The sequence below is a fragment of the Homo sapiens genome, chromosome 5 (genome assembly GCF_000001405.40).
Source record: "Homo sapiens chromosome 5, GRCh38.p14 Primary Assembly".
In the NCBI taxonomy this organism is placed as follows: Eukaryota; Metazoa; Chordata; class Mammalia; order Primates; family Hominidae; genus Homo; species Homo sapiens.
Window position 1 is genome coordinate 170,368,244 of NC_000005.10, and position 26,549 is coordinate 170,394,792.

At 47.9% G+C, this 26,549-nt stretch overlaps 2 protein-coding genes and 1 long non-coding RNA gene across 5 annotated transcripts in view, besides 6 other annotated features; 2 read left to right on the forward strand and 1 right to left on the reverse strand.

The window, feature by feature from the left end:
• Positions 1-26,549, forward strand: part of KCNIP1 (potassium voltage-gated channel interacting protein 1) — a 383,146-nt gene that overhangs the window by 14,757 nt on the left and 341,840 nt on the right. The window lies entirely within an intron of this gene.
• On the reverse strand, positions 6,428-21,124 carry KCNMB1 (potassium calcium-activated channel subfamily M regulatory beta subunit 1). Its single transcript, NM_004137.4, has 4 exons — positions 21,016-21,124; positions 17,071-17,228; positions 15,436-15,607; positions 6,428-10,730 (listed from the first exon to the last, which is right to left on the reverse strand). Exons 2-4 carry the CDS (start codon positions 17,202-17,204, stop codon positions 10,461-10,463), a joined length of 576 nt encoding a protein of 191 aa, NP_004128.1. The 5' UTR covers positions 17,205-17,228; positions 21,016-21,124; the 3' UTR covers positions 6,428-10,460.
• Positions 19,239-19,739: an enhancer, noted in NCBI's record as "H3K4me1 hESC enhancer chr5:169814486-169814986 (GRCh37/hg19 assembly coordinates)". NCBI's record gives its function as "activates a minimal SCP1, AML or CMV promoter by ChIP-STARR-seq in naive H9 embryonic stem cells {active_cell/tissue: H9 hESC(naive)}" and the evidence as "EXISTENCE:reporter gene assay evidence [ECO:0000049][PMID:30033119]".
• Positions 19,740-20,240: an enhancer, noted in NCBI's record as "H3K4me1 hESC enhancer chr5:169814987-169815487 (GRCh37/hg19 assembly coordinates)". NCBI's record gives its function as "activates a minimal SCP1, AML or CMV promoter by ChIP-STARR-seq in naive H9 embryonic stem cells {active_cell/tissue: H9 hESC(naive)}" and the evidence as "EXISTENCE:reporter gene assay evidence [ECO:0000049][PMID:30033119]".
• The window catches only part of KCNIP1-OT1 (KCNIP1 overlapping transcript 1), a 33,352-nt gene continuing 28,052 nt past the window's right edge, over positions 21,250-26,549 (forward strand). The window contains exon 1 of the long non-coding RNA NR_109899.1: positions 21,250-21,360. This is a non-coding gene — a long non-coding RNA (KCNIP1 overlapping transcript 1). The remainder of the gene's footprint in view (positions 21,361-26,549) is intronic.
• Positions 22,165-22,665: an enhancer, noted in NCBI's record as "H3K4me1 hESC enhancer chr5:169817412-169817912 (GRCh37/hg19 assembly coordinates)". NCBI's record gives its function as "activates a minimal SCP1, AML or CMV promoter by ChIP-STARR-seq in primed H9 embryonic stem cells {active_cell/tissue: H9 hESC(primed)}" and the evidence as "EXISTENCE:reporter gene assay evidence [ECO:0000049][PMID:30033119]".
• Positions 22,666-23,166: an enhancer, noted in NCBI's record as "H3K4me1 hESC enhancer chr5:169817913-169818413 (GRCh37/hg19 assembly coordinates)". NCBI's record gives its function as "activates a minimal SCP1, AML or CMV promoter by ChIP-STARR-seq in primed H9 embryonic stem cells {active_cell/tissue: H9 hESC(primed)}" and the evidence as "EXISTENCE:reporter gene assay evidence [ECO:0000049][PMID:30033119]".
• Positions 23,419-23,919: an enhancer, noted in NCBI's record as "H3K4me1 hESC enhancer chr5:169818666-169819166 (GRCh37/hg19 assembly coordinates)". NCBI's record gives its function as "activates a minimal SCP1, AML or CMV promoter by ChIP-STARR-seq in primed H9 embryonic stem cells {active_cell/tissue: H9 hESC(primed)}" and the evidence as "EXISTENCE:reporter gene assay evidence [ECO:0000049][PMID:30033119]".
• Positions 23,920-24,420: an enhancer, noted in NCBI's record as "H3K4me1 hESC enhancer chr5:169819167-169819667 (GRCh37/hg19 assembly coordinates)". NCBI's record gives its function as "activates a minimal SCP1, AML or CMV promoter by ChIP-STARR-seq in primed H9 embryonic stem cells {active_cell/tissue: H9 hESC(primed)}" and the evidence as "EXISTENCE:reporter gene assay evidence [ECO:0000049][PMID:30033119]".

The following is a 26,549-nucleotide window of genomic DNA, read 5'->3' on the forward strand; positions in this document are numbered from 1 at the left end:
AAGTTTTTGTTTGTTTGTTTGTTTGTTTGTTTGTTTTATTGAGACAGAGTCTCACTCTGTCACCAGGCTGGAGTGCAGTGGCGCAATCTCAGCTCACTGCAACCTCTGCTTCCTGGGTTCAAGTGATTCTTGTGCCTCAGCCTCCCAAGAAGCTGGGACTACAGGTGCCGGCCACCACAGCCAGCTAATTTTTGTATTTTTAGTAGAGACAGGGTTTCACAATGTTTTCCAGGATGGTCTCCATCTCCTGACCTTGTGATCCGCCCGCCTCAGCCTCCCAAAGTGCTGGCATTACTGTTGTGAGCCACCGTGCCCGGCCTAAAGTTCTTCTTGATGCTTCTCTGCATTTTCTGAATTGTCTTCAATAAGCATCCATATTTAATCAGAAACCACAAACATATCATTCACTAAATACACATCTTCAATCATACAGTTCTCAGTATGGGAACGCATGAAAGTTCTGCTTTCACTGGCATATCACTGGCTGTTCATGCCATGTGGCAATACACCCCGAACTACCAGATTTGGCACTCCCAGCCCTAACCCCACAGTCTCAGACCTCAGCCCACTCCCTAGTCCTGTGTCCCCGTGACCAAACCCACACACGCATTCTCCTCCAGCCAAACTGGTCCCCACATGTTTCCAAACCAGCCTTCTGTTCTGTGCTCCTCAGCCTAACTCTCAAATGGTTCAGAAACACAAATTCGCATGTGCACAGAGAGAGACAGAGACAGAGAGAAAATCCAAATATGATAAAATACTGATCATCATTGGTGAACCTAGATGAAGGGGAGGCATGCTTACAATTTGCATTGTAGTTGGATATTTTCAAAATAAAAAGCTGGGGAAATAAAGGAGCAGTGTAGTATAGTATTTAAGGGCATAAATTCTGCATGAAATTACCTTATTTCAAGTTCCAGTCCCACTGCCTATTAGTTGGGAAGTAGTAACATTAGGCAAGGTACTTACTTTCTAAGACTCAGATTCTTCATCAGTAAAATGGGGATAATGAAAATCCTGGTGTATTTGTTTCCTACAGTTGCCCAGAGAATGGAATGTATGTGTGTAAAGGGCTTGGCGAAGAGTGCCACACACCCTTGATCATGAACTGTTAGTATCAGTGCTAAATATAGAAATCAATTTATTAACCGTGACTCTATTCATGATATTCTCTACCTCCATAAGCTGCTCATCCCTGGACAACTAAGTAAAGTGCTACAGCTTTGGAAACTTTTCTTGCACGGTTCTTTTTCTGCCACTAGCCCTGGAAGCTGCTCCAATGCGGTGCCTGCCCCGCTGGTATCCATACCTCCAGGCCCTGGCACAGAGCCTGGCAAGGGGGAAGAAGCCATTAAATGCACTGAACCCCAAATGAGAATCTCAAAGGGTTCAAGCTGTACTTTAAAGAAAACTCTTCTCATCAGGACCAAGTTTGCACTTTTGCTGATGCAGCCACTCTATTCCCATGGGCTTCCTTGAGATAAGGCATCACCTTGATAAATTAGCTGTAGATATAGGCGTCTTGCAGTTGGCATGGGAAAGCAATTTAATTTCCAATTAAGCCTGATTTCTGGGCCAGGAGGTTGGCCTACCTCGCACTGGAAGGATTATTCTGGCCAGGCCTATTATTATCACGGGTCATGATTCTCCCATGAAGTGGACTCTCAAGGAAGCTGGTCCTTCAACCATTGGAATGGTTCAGTGAGGCAGAAATACGGCCTCTGTGGGTAGGACCCTTTTTCCCCAGGAATTAAGTTTATACAAGTAGAGTCAGGGAAGTTCAAAGCAAAGATAGGCAGTCTGTTTGTGGCCAAAATTGTTAAGTCAGGGTACCCCTAGAAATGAAGCAAGAGGGGAGAGAGAGAGGGAGGTGAGGCAGTCATCAATCAGGCCCACAAGCAAGAGAGGCGGGAAGTTGCTAGTAAGAAAAAGACGGCAGGAGGTAGTTCTCTGAGCCCAAATCGAAAAGAATCTGAATTATCGGTTGAAGGAGACACACTTACTTGAAGAGAGAACAGACATTTGTGAAGCATCTTTTATGCACCGTGCTGAGTACTTCACATTCATGATTGATGATACAATGCACCCTGTAAAACAAACACTGTGAGGCTCACTTTCCAATTGAGGAAACTGAGATTCAGGAAGATTAAATAAACTGCCCAAAGTCATGAACAAGGCAGATTCAAACTCTTGTTTTCCTGAGCTTTTCTCCCTGCAGGCTCCCTCTCAAAGACAAATACAAAAACATCATTTAGGGCCATAAGGATAATGCCATACTCAGCTGTATCTTACCCACCAAAATTGTAAGCATGAGAAAAAGGCCTTTCAAACAAGTCCTGAGAGAGTGAAAATAAATGGTGGCTGAGGCTGCTTGGGGCGAATGATCTGATGGAAGAGCTAACAATATCTACTTCTCTTTTGGGTGTTGTTTTTGCTCCCATCTGTCCCTCAAGGAGGGAGACCTGAGACCTGGGCGCAATGGCCCAGCATGGCTGAGAGGCTCCTGTGAGGTCAGGATCTCCTCCCACAGCTCAGACTGCTTCAAACCAGCGGGGTTCTGGCTTGTGGCTGAGGGGATTTCAATTCAGAAGGGTTGGAAAGAAACAACAGAGGGGAATGAGGGATCATGACCAGTGGAGCCACAGAAAATTTAGTTAGGTGCCAAGAAGGTATGACATGGCCTAAGTTTAGTTAACGATAGTAAAAGAGGACTCTGAGGCAATATGTAAGCAAGCATGCTGTCAACTCCTGGACAAATTCTAGAGCGCATGATTAAACCCATGGTTTGGGAACACTTGTGAAAGAAAGTAGAGATGAATGAGAGGCGGGTGCATTTGCTGAGAAGGAGCTGTGCCGGTGTACCAGTCTCCCTTCTGTTCTGCTTTTGCATAGTGACCAGTTCAAGGATCGCTGCAACCATGGTGTGCCTGGGTTCCAGTTGGGCGTGTGATGAGCTATGGGCTGGAAAGCATAGATTTAGGCAGGTGCCAGCTGGCCTCGTGGTCCTGTCTGTCTTGGCAGTGCCCACAGCAGAACCTTTGTGGGACATTTTCAGATCCTTCTGCTTGGCCATCACCCCCACATCTATTGAGACTTCAGAGGTGTGGCCCCAGGGAGTCAATTGAGAGCCTGGGCTCTGTGATGGAAAGGTATCTGGAAGCATCTAACAAGCTCTCAATAGTTGACCTTGACCTGCTTGGCATTTTCCACTTTTGATATGGGGTAAAGACAAGAACAGGATTCCCAGTGGTTAGAGTGTTTTCTGGAGCAATACCACCTAGATTTGAATTCCAGCTCTGCTATTTGCTAACTTCTGCCTTGGGGCAAGTTAAATCTTTTCCTTGTGCCTCCATTGGCTCATTGGTGAAATGGAGATACTAATAATAACCTCAAAGGATGTTGTTACTGTTCAATGAGCTGTGCCTGGAAAGATCCTGGCATTCAGGTAGGTGTTCAACAAATGCTAGCCCTTATTACCGTTAGGAATGATAGATTCTTGCACAGCAAGTGATCAGCTAAATATATGCCCAAATGAAAGTGGCTCCATCTTGCTATAGTGAGTTATTCATCCAAAGAGGTGTTGCTGCAGGTTGTCATTGAAGAGAACTATTGTAGAAAGAGTGTGACTGTGTTCTCCCCGACAATACTTCTGACACCACGTAAGAGGGTTTTCTTCCCCCCTACTGATACCAACTAGTTTGGACACCAACTGGGTGTCCTACAATTTAATTCAATTCTGACACTAACTACCCAGAGTTAGCTCAGACCCCACAGGTTAAGAACTCAGTCCCACAAGACTGCCCCCATTCAAATGCCAGCCACCAATAGGGTGTCCTGACTATCCACACTTCCACCTGACTGACAGAACATTCCTACAACCTCCCCTACACCTCCAGATAGGATATAATAATTTACTAGAGTGATCCACAGAACTCAAAAGAACATTTTACTTACTATTGACACTTACTATTACATGTTGATTACAGAGGATATAACTCAGAAACAGGCAGACGGAAGAGACACACAGGGCAAGGTATGAGGGATGCAGGGTGGAGGTGCAGAGTTTCCGGGCCCTCTCCCAGCACCTTGACGTGTTCACCAACCCAGAAGCCCCCCAAACCCTATTATTTAGGGGGTTTTATGAAGATTTCACTACATAGGCATGATTGTTAAACCACTGGCCATTGGTGATTAAACTCAACCTCCAGCCCCTCTTCCCTCTGCAGAGGTTGCCGGGTAGAGCTGAAGGTTCTAACTCTCTAATCATGGCTTGGTCCTTCTGGCAAGCAGCTCCCATGCCGAAGCTATTTACAGGCCCACCAAGAGTTATCTCACTGGAAAAAAGACACTCCTATCGCCCCTAAAGGACCTCTGTACCAAAGACCAAATATCTTTCTGTGAGACAACAGAGAGTTCAAGCACCAAATATAAAGTGGAGAAGCACTAGATGATCTCTAAAGTCTTACTGGCACTTGGAGAACAAGTGTTTGTATTTGAACATGCGGAATCAAAGGGGAGTTGAGTAAAAGGGGCTCCAGAATTGACACAGGAGGAGGACTCAGTGCAGCAATCTCATGGGGCGTGGGGACAGAAGACACATCCCAAAGCTTCATGTGCCTCTCAAGCCCCTGCTTTTGTTTTATGTGTACTGGGGATAGGGGAGGTTGGTATGGAATGATGGAGATTATGGGAGAACAGAGTCCATCTAAGCCACTTTTGACTCTGCAACTGGGGGAGATGCAGCTGGCCTGGGAAGGAATCACAAACGTGGTCCAGTACTCAGTTTAGAGTTGTTGGCTTTGCTTCCATATACCTCCCTTTCTCATCTCCCAAATCCTTTGAGGAAGTTGGCTGGTGAAAATGTACTTATGTAAGTGGGGAGGGAGAGTTGTGCAAAGCTAGGAAGAAGCTGAGTTCTGCATCAGAGGTGACATGAGAAAGAACCAGGAAAGCACTGTGGAGAGGAGGATGACCCATCAACTGACTCATCTGGGGGACAGGATCTGGGAGCCAGAGGTGATGGAGAAAACTAAAGCCCTCCTCCTGGCCCCCAGTGGGAATCTGATGGAGCCTGGTGGAGAGCCTCACATTTCTACAGGGCACGGTGTGGGAGGGGCCTGGAGGCCTTGTCTCTGGATGCACTAGGCTGGCAGTTCTGAAGCTTTTCATCATCAGGACCCTTTTACATGCTTAAAAAATATTAAGGATCCTAAGAGCTTTGGTGTATATGGGTTATATCTATTAACAGTTACCATTTTAGAGATTAGAACTAAGAATGGTAAAAATATTTAATTTGAATTTACTTATTTTAAAATAATAATACATCCATTAGTTGCTAACAAAAATAACATATTTTTTTGAAAAACAATTATGCGTGGCAAAAAGTATATTGGGAGAAGTGGTATTGTTTTACATTTTTCACAAATCTCTAATGTCCAGCTTTAGAAAGGCACCTAGAATCTCATTGCTACCTCGGCATTCAGACTGTTTTAACAATGCATGTTACATGACCTCTGGAACATTCCATTGCACTCTCATAAGAGAATGAAAATGAAAAAGGCAAATAATGTCTTAGTATTATTATGAACAGAGTTTTGACTTTGCAAGCCTCCACTTTGAGAACTGCTACACTGGACTGTAGTGAATTTCTCCATGTCTCTCTGATCTTTCTTTGGTCATTTTCTTTCCCTTCCATGTGACAGGGCAATGGCTGGTGAGGTACAGGAAGGTGGCACTTTGCTCAAACAGTGTCTTCTTAAATATTTCATAGAATTCAAACTCCCCCAAACACAAGACCAATTCAAAGAATACTGGATATTCTCACATAACAGCCTGTGCTGCCAATGAACAATAAAATAAATGCAGTTTGCAATGCCCTGACCCAAGGAGTTTAAGATAAATTTTGGATGAGTTGTTGATTTAGAGGAGGAGCTGGTATCACTTCAGTAAGTCACAGAAAATAAGATTATATTAATATTTATATTGCATTATTTTAAATCTGCATAATGCTGAGTCTTCACTGTGAAGAAGGAAGCCCCTCACAATGATTAGTGAGGGGTAGGGAGGGAGAATGGCAAGAAGACACCAAGTTCCTTGCAGGCAAGCAAATAGATACATCATAAAAGTGAAGTGAAATTCCAGTCCTCTGAGATCTTCATAAATAGAAGAAACCCTCATTTCTTTCCTCCTCTGGTTGCAGCTTGGACTGATGAGCTGAAGCTCTGTCTGAGACCTGGCACTGTTAGGATGTCCCCCAGGGTTCTTTCCACCCCAGTTCTGGAGCTCAGGTGGCCCCTTGCCTCTGAATTCCACCGCTTTGTCTGAGTTCTGGAGGACGGCACATGGGAGAACCATCCAGGTGCACCTCTCCAGGTATGAGTCACTAGTCCATGAGAGGACAATAATAAATGATGGAAGCACTAGACACTCATTAGCAGAGTGGTTTATTAAGAACTGATGAAGGTTCTCTGCTCCCAGGCAGATATTATTGCAAAAAAACACGTAGGCACAGGGTCTAACTCCATCATGCCTAAATTCCCATTATTTCATGCTTATCCCGTGCATAAAGTTCTGTGAGCAGCAGACAGTTGTGGCATTTGCTAGAAGGCCAGTCTTTATTGACAGGAGGAGAACATCTATCTCAAGCAAATGAAGGTCATCATTAATAATTTATGGGACAGTGGGGGTTAGGCATCCTCACATACTAATTTTTCTAGAGGAACATGGCCTTTTCCCCTGCAGGGATTGTTTGGGTATTCTGAGTTTCTGTGTATTTTAGTCCCAAATTCAGGTGCATGGAAACCATTGACAAAATAGACCCTTTAAATCAGACTCCAAGTTGGGACTTCCTTTCTTATTTTTCTTCCTTTTTTAACTTAAATTTTTGAGATAATTGTAGATTCACATGAAGCTTTACGAAATAATACAGAGACATTCCGTGCCCCCTCTACCTAATGTCCCCAATGGTAATATTTAATATTTTGCAAAACTATAGTACAATATTACAATTAAGACTTTCTTAAAAGACTCACATGAGGACCTTTGAGACTTCCCTGACCCCAGAAGGAAAAAATTCCAGGGAATGATGAGCTGCCTGCCTTTGGAAGGAAGGTCCACCAGGTAAGAAACTGGAGGCCACAGGGATACCTCTGGGCTCCCTGGCTGGAATTGGCAGATGCTGGTGCAGATGCCAGGGCCTCCCCTCAGAACTCCAACCTGCATGAGGGCACCTGGGTTCCAGGGATGCAACGCAGCTCCCTGCCTGGCCCCTGTGGCTTTGAGTGGCTGTGTCCCTCAGCCCTTCACAGCTGGCTCTGCCCCTCAGCCCTTCACAGCTGGCTCTGCCCCTCAGCCCTTCACAGCTGGCTCTGTCCCTCAGCCCTTCACAGCTGGCTCTGCTGAGTTCTGTGGTTGAGATGCCAGGTACTGGAACACACAGCTCCAGGCTTGAGTCCTAGCCCCTCACTTTACAGATGGCCTTGGCCAGTTACCTCTTACAGCCTCAGTTTTTCATAGTAACTTAGATAGCACTTACCATATGTCACTATCCTAGGAAATTTACATAAAAATTTGTTTCATGCCAAAACTCTATGGAAAGATACTATTATCAGTTTCGTTTTGCAAACGAGGAAACAGGCACAGAAAGGTTATTCGTCCAAAGTCACCCAGCTTGTGAACAGCACAGCTGGAATTTGAACCCAAACAGTGCACATCCCAAGTCCACATACTTAGCCACTGTCCTCTGTTGCTTCTCATCATCTGTGAGGCAGGTTCAGGAGTATCTCATTTTTTTTTCCAAGGCAAACTAATTAGTACAGTGCCTGGCACAGAATAAATAAGCACCCATACATGCCAGATAACATTGTCAGTATAACTTCTGGAAGTTTCTGAGTATTCATGACTTATTCTTTTTTTTTTTTTTTTTTTTTTTTTTTTGAGACAGAGTCTTGCTCTGTTACCCAGGCTGGAGTGCCGTGGCGCGATCTCGGCTCACTGCAAGCTCCGCCTCCCGGGTTCACGCCATTCTTCTGCCTCAGCCTCCTGAGCAGCTGGGACTACAGGCGGCTACCACCACGCCCGGCTATGATTTTTTCTATTTTTTAGTAGAGACAGGGTTTCACCGTGTTAGCCAGGATGGTCTCGATCTCCTGACCTCGTGATCTGCCCACCTCGGCCTCCCAAAGTGCTGGGATTACAGGTGTGAGCCACCACGCCCGGCCGACTTTTTCTTGTTACTAACAATAGCTCTTTTTCCCTGATCCTCTCCCTCCTCCTACCTCCCGCCCTCCAATAGGCCTCAGTGTGTGTTGTTCCCCTCTTTGTGTCCATGTGTTTTCATCATTTAGCTCCCACTTATAAGTGAGAATATACAGTATTTAGTTTTGTGTCCCTGTGTTAGTTTGCTAAGGATAATATTTGGCCTCCAGCTCCATCCATGTCCCTGCAAAGGACATGATCTCCTTCCTTTTTATGGCTGCATAATATTCCATGACGTATACGTACCACATTTTCTTTAATAATGGGTACTAGACTTAATACCTGGGTGATGAAATAATCTGCACAACAAACTCCCTTGACACAAGTGTACCTATGTAACAAACCTGAACGTGTACCCTGCAACTTAAAATGAAAGTTAAGAAAAAAACACACACACAAAACAAACAAAAAAAACTATAGTTGCCATTTTAAACACCTATGATGTGTCAAACATTCCTTCAGCCCTCCCAACTATCCAGAAAGAGTCCTTCTTTTATAGATGAAAAAACTAAGAATCAAAGAGATGAAATCGGGCAGAGTAGAGACAGGATTCAAACCCAAGATCTGCATCTTGGACTCACAACACTGGAAGAAACTTCAGACACCAGCCTAACTTCACACCCAGCTCAGGACTGGCCCTGCCGAATGGTCACTCACCTGCTCTGAAAATCCTCGCGACAGGACGCTCACTTCCTACACCGGTAGTTCTCTGGCTCGAGGTGTGCCACAGAATCCCCTACGCATTGTTAGAACACAGAACATTGCTACCCCCACCCCGTGCAGGGCTTCTGGCGTGGTGGGGCTGGGACAGGGGCCTGAGAGTGTGCATTTCTCACAAGCTGCCACAGGATCCTGATGCTGCTGGCCCAGGGACCACACTTGGACAGTCATCGTTCTAGGAAAACTTCCTGGAGTGGGAATGGTAAAGGTGATGGCTTCTTCCCATTTTGCCCTTTTCAAATCTGAGATAGGCTTCCCCAGCAGGCTCAGTGCCAGAGTCCATACCCTCAATTTAAATAACAAATCCTCCTCTATATCATGACCTTTCCTCCAGAGGGTTGTTTTTCATTTTTTGTTTTTTGTTTTTTTTTTGAGACGGAGTCTTGTTCTATCACCAGGCTGGAGTGCAGTGGCACAATCTCGGCTCACTGCAAGCTCCGAACCCCGGGTTCACGCCATTCTCCTGCCTCAGCCTCCTGAGTAGCTGGGACCACAGGTGCCCACCACCACGCCTGGCTAATTTTTTGTATTTTTAGTAGAGACGGGGTTTCACCATGTTAGCCAGGATGGTCTTGATCTCCTGACCTCGTGATCCACCAGCCTCGGCCTCCCAAAGTGCTGGGATTACAGGAGTGAGCCACCGCGCCCGGCCCAGAGGGGTTTTTAAGATTGTGTGTTCTGAATGGCCTGTCTCTGACTGGAACCCAACTCCGTCCCCAGACCCACTTCCATCTTTTTCTGTGAGGGGGACACACTCTTTCAACTTTTCCAAAATGGCATCTACCATGGCTTTTCTGATTAAAAGCAAACGAAACACACCCTTCCTATAATCAAAAATTTAGAAAAGCAGCAAAAATAAAAAGGGGATAAGGAAGAAAACAGAAATTAACCACCATCCCACCGCTAAAATTTTGATGAGTTCTCATGTGTTTCCTTGCAGCTGATTGTTGTTTGGCATACATTTATTAATATTGGAATTAAAAATATATATGGCACTTTATATCCTAGAAAATAGTAATACTGTAAATGTGTTCTAGAAATGGGAGCTGCTGTTGCTCTTATTAGAGAATTCAAACAAAGAAGGGAGGCTCGCTGGGGACAGCTTCTGGGGGAGGATGGGTACCGCTTTGAGACAACAGGGAGAACTCAGGCACAGAGGTGACGATCATCGTTCTCTGTGGGGCACATAGTGATGCAGCCGGAAACAGGTATGAGTCAGTTGAGTGGGGACAGGTAATAGAGAGCTAGAACTGGCTGGCCTTATGGCCTCCAAGGCATTGGGGAGCCACTGTACATTCTTGAGCAGGCAATGACTTCACAAAAGGATTTCTCAAAGGTTAGTCCTGCAACAGAAGACAGCGTGGATTGGACTGGAAGAGTGGGAGGGCAGGTGGAGAAGGCATTGTGCTGCAAGTGGGGAGCAGCCCTGGGGGCCCAGCCAGTCCCCTGTGCCCTGACAAGTGGTATGGCATGGATGGATGGCTCTACTTCTGGGCCGCCAGGATGGACAGGTACTGGTTGCTCTTCACCATGGCGATAATGAGGAGGCCACCGGTCAGCAGGAAGGTGGGCCAGAAGAGGGAGAAGAGGAGGGCCTGGGGCCCGTAGAGGCGCTGGAATAGGACGCTGGTTTCGTTCCCCCGAGGTGCGGAGAAGCAGTAGAAGACCTGCTGCTCTTGGAATTTGGCTCTGACCTTCTCCACGTCGGCCCGGGCCGTCTGGTAATTGTCCACGCTGCCTGGGATGTAGGAGCACTGTGGGGAGAAACAAGAGCAGCTGTGGGCTTGGAAATCCCCATTTCTTAGCCAAGGGCTTGATATGGAGTAAAGAAAAATACCAGCTTTGTAGTCGGGCCCCTGGATTGGAGTCGGGGCTTTGGTCTAAAGCTTGGCAGGCCATGCGCTGTACAGGTCTGGAGAGCACGCTCTCATTTGTGTCTTGTGTGTGGATGGCGGTGCTGGAGCTGCTCGGGGTACAGGCTACACACCTGGGCGCAGGTCCTACCTTGGAGTCCTGGCTCTGCTTGGATTGGCTGTAGAATTTTTGGCAAATTTCTCACTCTTTCTGAGCCCTGAAGCTTCATCACTTAAATGGGTGAATATCGGTTTCAAAGGATATTATGAAAGAAGGACTTCACACAGAGCTATCTAAGGAAACCAGGGAGGGACACAGGCCAAGTGGGCTGTGTATTTGAAATCGAGATCATGTGCTCAATTGCCTACAGGGCTCATGAAGGTATTGTCAGAGGGTGAAGCAGGCAAAGCAATGAGATGACAGGTGCCCACTGACTCTTGCCTTGGTGCCAGGAAGAATTGCCAGGGTGTGGCAGGGCCTGTCAATAGGGAGAGAGCCAGCTGCCTCCAGACAGGCAGTCACCACTCCCTCCAGGCAATGGATGTCAGGCCATCCAGAAGATCTATAATAGCCAGACCTCCAACACTTTAAGAGAAGTTAGAAACCAGATCACACCTGTAATCCTAACACTTTGGGAAGCCGAAGGGGAAGGATCCCTTGAGCCCAGGAGTTCGAGACTAGCCTAGGCAACATAGCAAGACTTTATCTCTACAAAAAAAGTTAAAAATTATCCAGGTGGGCATGGTGGTGTACCTGTAGTCCCAGCTACACAGGAGACTGAGGTGGGAGGATCACCTGAGCCCAGGAGTTGGAGGCTGCAGTGAGCTATGATCTCGCAACTACACTCCAGGTAAGGCAACAAAGCGAGATCCCATTTCAAAAAAAAAAAAAAAGTAAAATATTAGCTAAATTTAAAATTGAAAACCTTTGCAGTTTCAACCTGTGTACAGCAAACAAACTATGTTGGCAAGCGGGTATTTGACACTGGGATCCAAAGGAAAGAAAGAATGCATTGAAAAGAGTTTTGTGCCAGCAGAGCATGACACACATTTAATTCTGACGTTGATTATTGTTATTAGGAACTTTCTGCCCTGTTCAGATGAGGCCAGCTGGAAAGTGATGCAAAGCAGTCATAAAGCGGAGTTTTATCTGGTTTTATCTCTGTTCTGAGCTGCAAGTGTGGTGCCCCCATCTGCAGCAGAATACCTACAGGGCCCCCATAGCCCAGGTCCCTACCCACTCTGCATCACTGAGGGCGAGACCCAGGAATGTGTGATTCCTTCATGCACTTAATTTTGCCCTAGTGAAATCATGTGCAAGATCAAAATGTGTAAAACTGAGACCCAAATGGCAGGTGTTGAGCCAGATTCCTTGCAGGCCTCGGCCACTCCCTGGATTTATATGAGGTGCCACCCTGGAAGCTGCCTGCCCTGAGGGCATTCACTCCAGCAACACAGAGGAGGGTTGCACTGTAGTTCTCACAGCCTGGGAAATGCAGATGCTGCACTCAGATCTAGGGCCCCAGCCAGCCAGGGAGTAGCTGAGGCTGGGGAGACGCTGGCTCCTCAGGAATCTGGCATTCAGAGCTGTTGGACACTGCCAGGTCCTCAGTAGCATATAATCCAGCATCCTGAGCTGACGGTGAGGGGGCCTGGCCTGAGTCTCTCCAATGCCTCTGACTGTGACCTTGGCTAACCTAGCTCCTTAAATAGCAGTGTGGCTATGGAGTCAGACAGGCCTGAGTTCTGAGCTGTGTGACCTTGGCAACTGCCACAACCTCACTGGGCCTTGTAAAATGGGTTTGTGAGGCTACCTGCCTAGGAGAACTGTCATGGGGATTAAATGAGATGATGCATGTAAAGCACTGAGCACAGAAGCCCAGCACACGATAAGAACTCAAAAAAGTGGAAGATGCTATTATTAATAATAATATGTTTTGACTTATCTATGAAATTGCAACAACAGCTCCTTCTTTACCTTCTTAAAAAGAGGTCTATGGATGAGCTCTGAAGTAGAGGCTTCTGTCCATCCTGGGCCTAGTGTATCCTCTGCCTGCTCAGGGTTCCTCTGGATCTTTTATGCTGGGCCTGTTTGGCAAGACACTGGGCAGGAATTCACTCTTCATGGCCAAACCCAGAAGCCGGGGCCTGAATGCATCCTTTCTCTCCTGTCCTGGGTCCAGCTAAGCCTGAGTTATCTGAATGATCTGAAACCAACCAGCTTTTTCCCAAGCCCTGCAGTGTAAGGTCCCCAGGACAGACAATGGGAGGGAATTTAGAACTCACCTGCTCCAGGCTAAGACTCACAGGAAAAGCTGAGGGCAGACTATGGCCCCTACCTTCAGAGTTGGAGGGTGGGATGAGAGTCTTCTTGGCCCTTCACAGTGATTCCAGAGGACACCCAGCTAGCCTGGAGCCCCAGCCACTTGAACCCCTATGATGGACATAGGCGGAAGGAGCAGCTAGCCCACAACCCAGCTGCTTGGCAAAAACACGAAGGGCATTTCCACTGCTTCCTCCCAGCTCCTGCAGCCTGCTATCAGCACCACACCTGGTCAAGCCTGGGCGGCAGGGGAGAGGACAGCAGTGGCTCCAGCATGTCCTTCCTTCACATCCTGCTGACAGTTCATTCAGGGGATGCTCCTCTGAGCTGGCAATCTCAGGACCAGGGAGGCAGCCTGAAAACCAGCCTGCTCTGGCCCATATCACTCCCGGAGAATGTTACCAGTTATTGAAAATTTGTTTCTTGCATTGGGATAAATCAAGGGCTACTGAATGCCAACGCAGAGGCAGGGGTCATGGGTAGGAGCTGCCTCCAGTGGGCCCTGAGACCTCTCTCCACCGGGTGGGGCCGAGTCATACTAGCGATGACAGAACACCTGACCATCCTGCACTGCCCAGACCCACTTCTCATTGACCTTCAGCACTCTCAAGATCCCCCAGCCTCCACGCCCCATCCCAGGCACCCTGCCCCTTCCCGTCCCATCAGCCATCAAGTCCGGACTGTCAGCATCTCCCCTGCTGCAGGCCACATCTTGGTCGTGAGTGCTTGCTGCGGCCTTGGCTCCTCTGTCTAGTAACTGGACCCACACACCTGTAGGCTCCATCTTCCCAGCCCAACTCTGAAACTCTGATCATGCCCTAAAGATTCCCATTGCCAACAGCAATAATTTCCAACCTTAGAATCACCTTGGGAGCTCCATGAATGGATCTCTGACCAGAGATTCCACCTTGATATGTCTAGTGTTGGACCCTAGTTTTGTTTTTTAAGACTCTTACAGGGTTCTAATGCATAGCCAAAGTTGACATATCTTGAGACATACACACTCACATTTTAATTCCATATTGTGGTGATCAAAGGCCTCTGGGAACAGACCTTAGTCTGCCCTGACAGCCTTTTCCAGCTGCATACACCCCATCATGGGTCATTTTCTGTAGTCAGCCCTCTGATCCCTGTCTCCACCTAGCCCTTCCCTCCGCCATGCCTCGTCCTATAGGCATACCCGCTTCCTATATCACCTCATTCTCTATGCCTTGCATCCTGCGCCTGCCTGATGTTAAAAGCCTAATCCAAGAGCCTTTCTTTTTTTTTTTTTTTTTTTTGAGATGGAGTTTCACTCTTGTTGCCAGGCTGGAGTGCAATGGTGCAATCTCACCAAGAGCCTTTCTGATACCCCCATCATTGTCAGCTGGAAAACATCCCCCTCCTCTAACCCCTGTAACTTCCTCTGTTCTTCTCCCCGGTGCCAATTCTTCCCTGCTAGGCACTGTTCATGCATGAGCTCTCTCCTCTTGAGTCCTACAGGCTTGACACAGGAGGTGCTCAATGGCTGTTGAATAAATAAATGAGAGGAGGAAAGAAGGAAACAAGGAAGGAAGGAAGGAAGGAAGGAAGGGAGGGAGAGAGGGAGGGAAGGAGGGAGGGGAAAAAAAAGAAAAGAAAGAAGGAGGGAAGAAAGGGAAAAAAGAAGGAAAGAAAGAAGGAAGGAAGAGAGACAGAATATGGGCCAACTGATCGCTTTAGGAAAGGATATGGTGGTGAGTTTTGTGTTTTGGAGGGGGAGGGTGGGATGTTGGGATGCAAGGATGGAAAAACCATCTAAATGTTTGTTTATGGAGGTTACTCCAGCCCTGAGTCCCTGGTTTCCTGGGGAGTCACCGGGATTCCACTTTGAGGATCTGGCCCTGGGCCTGGTCCCTCATTTGACTGAGGTTGTAGAATGAAAGTACTAACACTAATCACTGCTTTTGTTTGAGTGCCCACTATCCACTCAGCATCAAGCGTGGCACTTTATATACAGCGTCTCTGACTTGATAACAGCTCTTCAAGGTGCAGCATTAGCATTCCACTTTACAAGGGTGGAAACTGAGGAGGTGAGAGGCTAAGTGGCCTGCCTATGTTTACACAGCCAGTTAGCGGCAGATTCAAACCCAGGTCTGTGTGACTCCAACACAGAAGAGCTAGGGCTGGCTCAGTCTCATTCCAGCTGTGAGACCTGGTCAAGTGGGTTGATCTTTCTCAGCCTCGGGGACAGGGACAGTTAGGAACAGGCTCACACACCTGACAGGGATAAAGGGATGTGTCCCCATCCCTCCAGTTCAGTACCTGCTGGTTCTGGTCCCGAGTGTCCTCCGTGTGGTACAGCACAGCCCACCTGCCGGCAGCTGACACGTTGACCCACAGGCATGGGTACTGGGGCACCTTCTTGCCCTTCAGCTCCTCCTGGTCCCTGATGTTGGTCTCAATCAGGTGGCACTTGGATTCCTGGGTCCACACGCTGAGGAGACCACACACATGCACACATACACATCTCAGAACTGGGTGACACACAGAACACCCATTTGAACCCATTATCCCCTGGGAGCCTCTAGAGGGATCCAGGACTGGGATCCTCATCTTGTCTTCAGCATCCAGCAATAAAGGCACATGACCCCACAGTCCCCGGACACAGGGAGGAATTGTAGAAGCTGGATGGGGTCTTAGACATTATCTATATGACTGGTTCTCAACCTTGGCTACTCTTGCAACAACCTGGGGAGCTTCTAAAAAGATTCCCGTGTCCAAGCTACACCCCAGAGCAAGTGAATCAGAACTTCTTGGGTGGTTTGGCCCAGGCCCTGGGTGTTTTTTCAAAGCTCCCTGATGTGATTCTGACGAGCAGCCAAACCTGAGACTTTCTTATCCATATCGTCTTCATTTTGCAGAGGCAGAAGAGAAACTCAGAAAGGTCAAGTGACTTTGCTGAGACCTTGCAGGACCTGAAGCTAGGTCTGAGTGGGTTGGAGAGCTGTGTTCTTTCCCCTAAAAGGAGCAGATGTAGAAGGGGTTTGAGTTGAGCCAGGATGGGAAAGATGGTGGGGACAGTCTCTAGATGGTGCTTCACCAGATTAAGAGTCCAGCCTGGAATCGCTTCAGCGTTGTGAAGAGTGAGGCTGCAGCAGGCCCGGGAGAGGCTAACAGGTTCATCAACATATTAGTAAATCAGTTGTGCTTCAACTCCCAAGTATCCTGTGGGAGACCCATTGCCAGTCAGAAGGGGGCTGTCAGCTGCTGGAACGTGCCCAGAGCACAGGTCTGAGACTTATCCTAAGGACAGGCTGGGGGAACTGAGTGTCTTTGTTCCAAATAGAACACGAATTAGGAATTCACAGCTTTTCCTTAAAATCTCAAGTGGTTGATATGTCATGGAGCAAGGGCATGGACCATTCTCTGAGATTCCTGAGCAGAACTTCAGGGAAGCAGATGCTGGCTCAATGCAGACACATCAGAAAACCTCAAACATGAAATGTATGTTCAGTGAGGCAAGGAGCTCCCCGTCTCTTGAGGTATTCATCAGGAGGCTGGATGCCCACCTGACAGGGAGGCTTCAGAGGGGAGAGAATTATGCAGCTGAGCTGTAAACATCTGCAATTCTCTGATTCCTCCTGGGATCAAACTTGCACTGGAACCTTTGCTCTGATTCTTTGCTATTTCTTCTGAGAAGGGCATCATGTGTCTGTTACCACCACGTCCTAGATCATGTGTCTGTTACCACCAGGTCCTAGAATCTCAGACCAGTGGGGCTCAGTTCATCCTACCTTCCCTGCACTTGAACCCTAGAACCTAAGAATGAGCATCGTCTTGACCCTGCTGCCTTGAATGAGGGTCAAGGAGAGGGGTGAGTAGAAGGCCAGGGTTCCTTACAGATGCCAGACCCTTAGGAGAGGGTTGGGGGGTGGGCAGGCCGGGAGAGCTCAGTACCTTTTCTGGTAGAGGGGCAGCACAGTCGTGACCAGGATGTAGTAGGTGATGACGGCACACACCACCATGGTTACACCCAGGCAAAGGGCTCGTGTCTCTCCCCGCTTCTGGGCCATCACCAGCTTCTTCACCATATTCACTGGGGGCAGTGATCATTTCTAGGTCCACAGAAGCAAACAGAAGTGAGATCAGCCCAGTTCACAGGTGATCCACAGAAAGAGAGGACAGGTGAGAGGGGAAGGTACTCAACTATTAATATCACTCTTGTTTATATTTGGAGCTTTGCAACTTCCAGAAGTCTTGCTTTTTGGACCCCATGTAAGCCTTCCCTGTGCAATTGAGAGGCAATTGCAGATAAAAGACCTACGGCTCAGAGAGGTAAAGTGACTTGCCCTAGGTCACACAGTATGTAATAGGCTCAGTAATGGCCCCCCAAGATGTCTATGTTCTAGTCTCTGGAAGCTATCAATGTTACTTTATGTGGCAATGACTTTGCAGAAATGATTAAGATAAAGGCTCTTGAAGGCCAGGTGCGGTGGCTCATGCCTGAAATCCCAGCACTTTCGGAGACCGAGGTGGGCGGATCATGAGGTCAGGAGATCAAGACCATCCTGGCTAACATGGTGAAACCCCATCTCTACTAAAAAAAAAAAATACAAAAAATTAGCCGGGTGTGGTCGTGGGAGCCAGTAGTCCCAGCTACAGGGGAGGCTGAGGCAGGAGAATGGCATGAACCCAGGAGGCGGAGCTTGCAGTGAGCAGAGATGCGCCACTGCACTCCAGCCTGGGCAACAAAGCAAGACTCCGTCAAAAAAAAAAACAAAAAACAAAAAAAGATAAAGGCTCTTGAAATGGGGAGACAATATTGGATTATCCATGTAGCTCCTAAATGTAATCCCAAGGGTCCTAATAAGAGGGAAGTGAAGGGAGATTAAACAGATGAGAAAGCTAAGGTGATATGACCAGGGAGACAGCAATTAGAGTGATGTGACCACAGGCCAAGGAGTGCGTCAGAAGCTGGCGGGGGCAAGGAACAATGGCTCATCCCCCACGGCCACTGCAGGGAGTGCAGCCTGCAGACACCTTGGTGATTTTGGACTTCTGGTGAAATTTCTGTCGTTTGAGGCCGTCAGGTTTATGATCATTTGCTACAACAGTCATAGGTCCCATGCGGTGAGCGAGCAGTACATGTGCATCATCCATGCACCTCCTTCCACGGCACTTATCTCACAGGGATACTTGGAGTATTTCTGCCCAGAAACAGTTCTGTGGCAGGGCTAGCTGGGCCGGGCACAGGCAGGGAAAGGAGAGGAGGGCCCCAGAAGGCAGCTGCAGGTTGTCAGGAGAGGCAGGAGGTTTACCATATTCCGGTGTTTTTTTTTTTTGTAAGGAACATTCCCCTACTTCAAGCAAAGAAAGAAGAAAGAAGGCATCATGGTGGCCTCAGCGACTGCTTTCTTATTTCAGGGCTTGAAGCCACCTGGGACAAAGCAGAATGGGCACATTCTGCTGGTGGTTGCTTTCCTTCTCTCCTCTTTCTTTAGGCAGCAACTCCTTGTTTTTCCCCTGGACATTGACTCCACCCCAATGCAAGCAAAGATTCCACCCTCCCCTGCTAGGCTCCTGATCGCTCCCCCAGGAGTGTGAGTCTTGACAAAGACTTCAAGAAACAGCCCCTCAATCTATGCCGCCTGGAGCCACAGAGATGCCCAGCCATGGTCCCCGCGTGATTTCCCATGGTTCCGCAAGCTGTCCTAGAGCCTCTGGTAAATTTATTTGCTGTTGTTTTTATTTGTTTAAAGTAACCAGAGTCCATTTCTACCAAAAATACCAGGAAGCTATCAATGTAATCCTCCATTTTAGGGGAAATTTTAGGGGAATTTAGGGGAAATTTTAGCCAGATATCAGGGGGACTTTATTCTCCTTGCCAGGTCCCTAAAGTAATAAACATATTATGGTTTTTGTTTGTTTAATTAGCCAGTGTCCGGGTGACAGGCCTTAGTCCAAAGAGATTTTCTGCAAAGTGCTCTATTTTCTGCTCAGGCGTCTCTTAACTACTAGACTGTTTCAAATATTCAGAGATTCTTGACTCCCTCCCCTTAGCCAGGCTGCCCTCATACCCGGGCATCTCCGCTAAAGGGAAGAGACCAGGGTCAGGCACCACGGATACCCATCACACCTTCCCAGTGAGCTGGTCCACCTCCCCTATCGATCGGCAGAGGTGACATCCAATGACAACTTTTTCTCCTTTATTTGGCACCAGGAGGTGAGTTTCTCCTGCATTCTAATGGAGACATTATAAAAGCACAAGCAAGCAGAAATTGCCCCCGACAAAGAGAGATGTTTTATTCAACTCTTTTTATTCAATCCTTTTCCTCCTGTTCTGTGATCTTGTGGGAATGGGAGAGCCCATGCCTTTTTCTACCTGGCGTCAGTTGAACAAGACTCTCCATGTATTCACAGGTAAAGCAACAGAATCACCTGGAGGTAAGCTAAAAGCCCCAACAGCCTGCTTCCCCAGGACCTGCAAGGGTCACTGGCACTTGGCCCCACCCCAGATACTGTGAGACATAAATCATTTGAAGCCAATGGGAAATCCCATCTTGGAAGCCTAGGGCTGAGTGCCCACAACAAAGCCATTTCTCTCCTGGGGGAACTGGATCGCACCTGTGGGGGCTTCCTGTGGCTCCTTCCTGGCTAATCAGCCCCCCCCAGCGCCCAGGGCCATGGCCTCCTCTGCTATTTGGCTTCTAGTGCCCTCTCAGGCCCCTGGGCACTCCTGAGGCTGGTGAAGGCAGGAACCTGGTTTTACCAGTTTTAGGAGCTCAGAAGGAAAGGAAAGGAGAGGCTTCCCTGTCACAGAGAAGTCTGGAAACTTGGCTTATTCAGGTCTGACCCGTCTCTAATGGTCTGATGAGATTGTTGCCTGCACTGAGTGAGTTTATAGAGTCATGATAAATCCTCCTAAGACCATGCGTGGGGTTCAGTGTAGATATGACTTCAGCAAGAAGTTAGTATTCAGCATCCAAAGGGAGAACCTTTGGCGGGAGGAAGGATGGGAACTGTCAATATCCCCCAAGGGACAGAAAGAAAAGGAAGAAGTGGGTTTCAGCTATCATAGGAGGGATTTCAGTTAGACTGTAAGAAGAACTTCCCAGTTTTGAGCATTTCTAAATATCTCTGAAGTTCCAGGATATATCTTCCCATTTAGAAAGGTCACTTGAGATCTGGGATAGATTCAGAGAAGATGGAGAAGGACAAAGGAAGGCAGGACTTTGGAGTGTCCTGGGTGACCTGATAGCTGGGTCGACATCCTTTTCCTTAGAAGGACAAGGAATAGAGTACATTGTTGAACAGTTTGGTGGGGTGTGGACAGGGCGATTCTGAGGTCCTCAGACATGGAATCAAATCCTGGCTCTGCCACTTACACTTAGCAACCACATGACTGTGAAACGAGAACCATGGTACCTGCCTCAGAGAGTTCAGCTAAAGATCAAATGCCATATTGAGTATCAGACATGTATCATAGCACCTAGCCCCAAATCAGCCCCCAGTAAATATTAGCTATTACTACTAACGAAGGAAACCCTGAAAGTTTGGAGCAGAAGTCTGGACCCCTCTTGATGAATCTATTTTTGTCCCACCTCTCTACCGGTGACAAGTGCCAGCATTGGTGTTAATCTCCAGGCTGCAGCCTTCTGGCCACTCTGAGAACTGGGACCTAGAGGGCCAGGGCGCTTACTACCAGAGTAACCTGGCCACTGTGCCACCCTCCCCACTGGCCACCAGACCACGGGCCCTCCATCCAGAAGGACAGCCCCGAGAGGAAGGGAGTCCTCCTGCCTGCCTCCCTCCCTGCCCCGTGGCAGGCTGCTTTCCCCTGTCTCCCTCCAGCCCGGTCTTCAGAGAAATCACTTCCCAAGTGCTTTCAGGCCCGGTACTCACAGTCTTCCCGGCGTCCTGTGGGTCTTGAGCAGCAGACAGTTTCTTTCTGCCTGGACCCCCGCCCCCACCCCAAAAGAGGCCACAGAGCTTCAGCAGGAAGTTTGGCCTCCCCGCCCGTCTCCAGGGAAGCAGCTTTTGGTCCCCATCTGGGGCAAGCCTCCATGCCCAAACATGGTCAAGTCTGAGCACACAGCCTGGAGACACAGACTCGGAGAGCAGGTACCCAGCCCTGAGGAAGGCAGCTGTTACCCAAGCCCTGCACCTCCATCTTCCCAGAGTCTCGTGGGAAACAGATTTCAAACAACAACAGACAGCAAGACTGAGAAACTACGAAAGATCAGCCTGGTATATTTGGAAATATTTCTTCTTCTCTCTGTCTCTGTGGGCTGGCAAAGATGCCAGAAATAGGAAATGATTCTCCTTTTGTTGGCATGAGGAAGGGTGGAGTTGGGCTGGAGGGGTTGGGCTTGTCACTAGTCCCTGGCATATCCACGCTGGAGCAGCTACAGCTCCCTGCCTTTGGCACTTACGTGCTGTGTGACCCTGAGCAAGTTATGGCACCTCTCTGGGCCTCAGTTTCCTTTTTTGTTTTTGGTTTTACTCCCAAACTTATCGTTAAATGACCTCAGTTTTCTCACTTGTGTTACTGGCATTTTTAAAACCTACTTTGCTTTAGGGTAGTGATGGGAGTTAGAGACGGTGGGGATTTATGGCAAGGGGAGAGAACTGACTTTTTAAGGACCAACTGAGCTGAAGCTGGGAGTAGTGAGAGCTCCACAACTGCTTCCAACCAGGTCCAGGGACAGTCTGCTCACCAGGGGCCCTCCCAGAGACCGCGAAAGTACAGAGATTTCTTCCTAGCAATAAGACAAGTGAATGTCAGCATTTGCAGGCAAAAAACATGCTTTTAGATCTCTGCTTCTTCATCTGTAAAGTGGAAGTAAGGATTAAAAATCAGCAACAAAGGGCAGGCACAGTGGCCCACGCCCATAATCCCAGCACTTTGGGATGCCAAGGTAGATGGATTGCTCAAGCCCAGGAGTTTGAGACCATCCTGGGCAACATGGCGAAACCCCATCTCTACTAAAAATACAAAAATTAGTCGGGCATAGTGGTGCATGCCTGTGGTCCCAGCTACTTGGGAGGCTGAGGCAGGAGAATCGCTTGAACCTGGGAGGCGGAGGTTGCAGTGAGTCAAGATTGTGCCACTGCACTCTAGCCTGAACAGAGCGAGACCCCGTCTCAAAAAAAAAAAACAAATATATATATATATATATATATTTTCAACAAAACAACAAAAACAATCCCAGATATTGGGGCTTTCCTAAGTATCAGGCGTGGTGGTAGAAGGCAGCTTATCTCCACCCTTCACTTGACCCAAGAATCAAAGAACCTGAAACTGAGACTTGGAGGCTTGAAGTCACTGGTGCAACCCTAGGGGCCAGAACTAGATTCGAAGCTGGCCCTTCCAGATGGCACAGCTTGGTCTGTCTCTGATGACCCTGGGGCTGCTCTGAGACATTAAAAATCACCTCGATCATACAGTAAGCTGCCACCTGAGGCTCTGGAGGTCACCCTGAGTTTCCCCAGCCCCCAGGGAGGTGGGTGCAGCCTGGCCTTCCCTGCTGAGCGAGCTCACCACCTTCCTCCCTCCTGCCTCCAGCAGGCGCGAAATGAAGGCAGCCACTCAGGCCTCCCTGACACACTCTCAGGCGGTGAGTGCCCTTCTCCACCCCTTTCCTAATTGAATCTTATTAACAGGAGACTACAGTGTCTGTTTAATGGGCACCATAGCACCAGAGGGTCTAAGACCAGCTTCAGACCTTGCAGGCAGATTGACAGAGGGATGTAGGATCTGGAATTCAATCTCAGAAGAGCAATTTTCCAAGGATGATCCTCTGTCCACTCAGAAGCAGGAAAAGTCCTCCTGGGGCTAATCCAGAAATGCCAGGCCCCCCTCCTGCTTCCCTGGGGGAGAGATACACAGTGCAACAGGCTGCCATTTATGAGTATAACCGAAGGGCTCCTTGCTCGTGATACTCTGAATAAGTTATTAAGGGCTACATATTATTTGGAAATCATAAACAAACTTTAGCATTCTTCCCAAGGGAAGGTGGGAACAAACAGGGAAGGGGGGCCGTGGGGTCTTCTGCTCCCCCTAAATGAGCCACAACCAAAAGGCATTGACAAGCCCTGTCCTCGAGGGTTTGTGGGTGAAAACCCAGGTCCTTTGCTGGCTGCGGGGTTGTGTGTGACAGATGGCTACAGGTGGAGGGCAAGAAAATAACAATGCTGCAACAATAAATATTGACGGTTTGCATTAGTACGGGGTGTCAGAGATCACAAAATATCTTCTCTGACTCTTCCAACAGCTTCTTAAGGTACTAGCACAATAGGCTCACAATAGACCACTGAGGTGGAGATTTTTCTACCCATTTGATAGAGGGAGTAACTGAGCCTCAGAGAGGTGAAATAAATTGCCCAAGCAAGTTACTTTGCCTCTCTAAGCTTCAGTTTGTCTGTCTCTAAAATAGAGATAATTATACCTAGCCCCTCAGTGTTTTTGAGGAATGAGAGATCACCTAAGCTACCTGACACATAGTATGGAGATTGTCCTTTCCAAAGATGGTCACACCAAATACTTCCCATTCCATGTGCCCTTTTCACAGTGTGGCATCAACACTCCACCATCAAGAGGGGCATTGATGTCTCTTCCCCTTCACCCTGGGTGGAGCTTCGTAAGGGCCTCAATAGTAGAATATGGTAGAAGGACACAGCACGATGTTCAAGGCTAAGTCATAGACGGGGGCTCGAGTTCCCCCCACACGCTCTCGGGACATGTACCTGGGAACCAGCCACCATGTTGTAGGAAGCCGAGGCCCCGTGCTCCAGCTGACAGCCTCAGCTCAGATCTCAGCCAACAGCTAGCAAATCTCACCGGGCATGGGAGAGAACAAGCCTGCAGACAGTTCCAGCCCCCAGCCTGCCAGCCTCCCAGCTGAGGCCTCAGAGAATGTGGAGCAGAGACAGCCCACCTGCTCTGTGCTCTCTCTGAATTCCAGAGCCACAAAATCCACGAGAAGAAAAAAACTAATGTTTCATGCCCCTGCGTTTTGGGGTAATTTGTTATGCAGTCATAGTAACTGGAACACACTTGCAAGTGATTTCAAAGGGGGACTGTTACAGTTGCTGGTGATAGTGGTAGGATTAAACCAGTGAGAATTAAAACACCTGAGATTGCTATATGGAGTGTTACAGGAGAGTTTAGAAATGCTTTATCTAGGTAGGGCATGGTGGCTCATGCCTGTAATCCTAGCACTTTTCGAGACCAAGGCAGGCGGTTCATTTGAGGCCAGTAGTTCGAGACCAGCCTGGCCAACATGGCGAAACCCCGTTTCTACTAAAAATACAAAAATTAGCTGGGCACGATGGCAGGTGCCTATAATCCCAGCTATTCTGGGAAGCCGAGGCATGAAAATCACTTGAATCCAGGAGGCGGAGGTCGCAGTGAGCTGAGATTGAGCCACTGTACTCCAGCCTGGGCGACAGAGTGAGACTCCATCTAAACCAAAACAAACAAACAAAAAAAGTGCTTTATCTACTCTTAGGTCACACACTATGGCACAAATGGAATAGAAGGGCAGTGATATGGGAGGGTATTTTTGTTTATGAAGCACCTACTATGTACCAGGGAATGACCACATAGATATGCAATACATACACATACACATACACATGGACATTCCTCTCCACAATCCCCCACAAAAGGCCTTGTTCTTTCTGTAAAAGCACAAGGCAAAGTGATTTTCCCAAGGTCACGCCCCTAGCGTGTGATGTGATGGAGCCTGGAGTGCACCTGTGCCCGCTGACTCCACAGCCCGTCCCTGCCCCTCTGTCACCCCATGACTCCCTTGGGAGCAGTTTTCAAGAGACCCCAGGTTTCTTCATGATGTCTGCTTCCACTGCTTTCCAGACACCCTCAGCTCAGTCTGTACCCCTCTCTGGATTATGCACCTGCTTGTTTATTTAAGTCTTTCTGAATCAATATCTCCTCTCTGCTGACACTTGGGATAATAAGTCCCATAAATCAAATTGGCAACTGAGTCTTGAGCCCCTGTGTGTGCCTCTCTGAGTGCTGCAGGGATGGGTGTTAGTCACTCTCAGTCCTAGCGAAGCTGTGCGTTCACAGACATCCCAGCACTTGCTATGCAGAGGCTCTGGATACACCACTGTGCCGAGGTGACTCAGACACGGTCCCTTCACTGCAGAAAAGCGATGCCAGATTTCCTCAACTACAAAAATACAGAACAGAAAGTGAAAGATGTGTTTTAAATGAGAGACAGTAATAAAAGGCAGAGGAAATAACGGTGGGAGGTTTTTTAGTAGAGTTGAGATGACAAAGTATAACAACAGCAAAAGTAAATGCCGATATTACAATTAAATGGTCACACAACAAGACACGACAAAAAACATGGTAAAGTTGTTCCCTGCTGTGTAGGGTGATACTCACTCCTTTTTCCTCTGACTCTTTTCACCATATTTTCCCTTGGCCTGATTTTTCTTCCTTTATCCTGCCATGCTGTTAACATAATTGTAAGCACCTTGAAAATCCTCTTTGAGACAAAGAGGAGCATAAATAAATAAACAGCCCTGCTGTCTGTCTGTGTGGTAAGGTTGGTTTTTTTAAAAAAATGCTTTTTCCTTAGTGCAAATCATCCCAGCTCTGTGGGAAAGTGGCATGATGTGGAAGTGCAGGGAGAAGATGAGGTACAGTGTTAGCCTCACTGCTCAGAGAGAGTTGCTGTAAGAGTGGTGGTGGCCTTTTCAACACACATAAAGGAAGCATGTGCCCTCTCCTTCCATGGCACATGTCTCCTCTGTCCTTGCCTCCTGGCCAGCTCTTCCTCTTCCACAGGACTCCCCGCTGGGGCCTTCCCTCGCCCCCAGCCCCTTAGCCACTCTCCGCGCCTCCTGGGCCAGGCGGAAGCTCTGCTTCCGCATGCTGGGAGCACCGCATGCCTCTTCTGCAGAACACTTCCTCCGCCTGTAATTTAACATTTATTCATGTGCATCCTCCATTAACATGTCTCCTAACCCAAGGGTAAGCTCTCTAAAATCAGGGACTGGAACCGTTCTTATTCACTGCCGCATCTCTAGCGCCAGGAGGAATAAACAAAGATCTTGCGGTTTTGTTGTCATCGTGCTTTGGTTTTCGGGAAAAAAAATCTCTCGCTTTTTTACATAACAGAATATTATAATCATTTTCCCATGCCATGAAACATTTTTCTTCTTTAAATTGATATATTATAGTTTCACAGTTGTACATAAAACACTTTTCTTTCTTGAATTTTAATTATAGATTCGGGGGATACACGTGCAGGTTTGTTGTGAGGGTGTAATGCGTGATGCTGACGTTTGAGCTTCTATTGATCCCATCACTGATAGAGTGAACATAGTACCCAAAAAGAAGATTTTCAGCCTTTGCCCCACTCCCTCCTTCCTTTTGGAGTCCCCAGTATCTATTATTCCTGTCT

What these genes read in the sequence shown, in the direction of transcription:
- KCNMB1 (NM_004137.4), bottom strand. Translation starts at nt 17,204, where the DNA reads ATGGTGAAGAAGCTGGTGATGGCCCAGAAGCGGGGAGAGACACGAGCC. An exon ending in CTGCCCCTCTACCAGAAAAG is followed by an intron (nt 15,608 to 17,070) that starts GTACTGAGCTCT and finishes TGGTCTCCTCAG; the next exon opens with CGTGTGGACCCAGGAATCCA. An exon ending in CTCGGGACCAGAACCAGCAG is followed by an intron (nt 10,731 to 15,435) that starts GTACTGAACTGG and finishes TTCTCCCCACAG; the next exon opens with TGCTCCTACATCCCAGGCAG.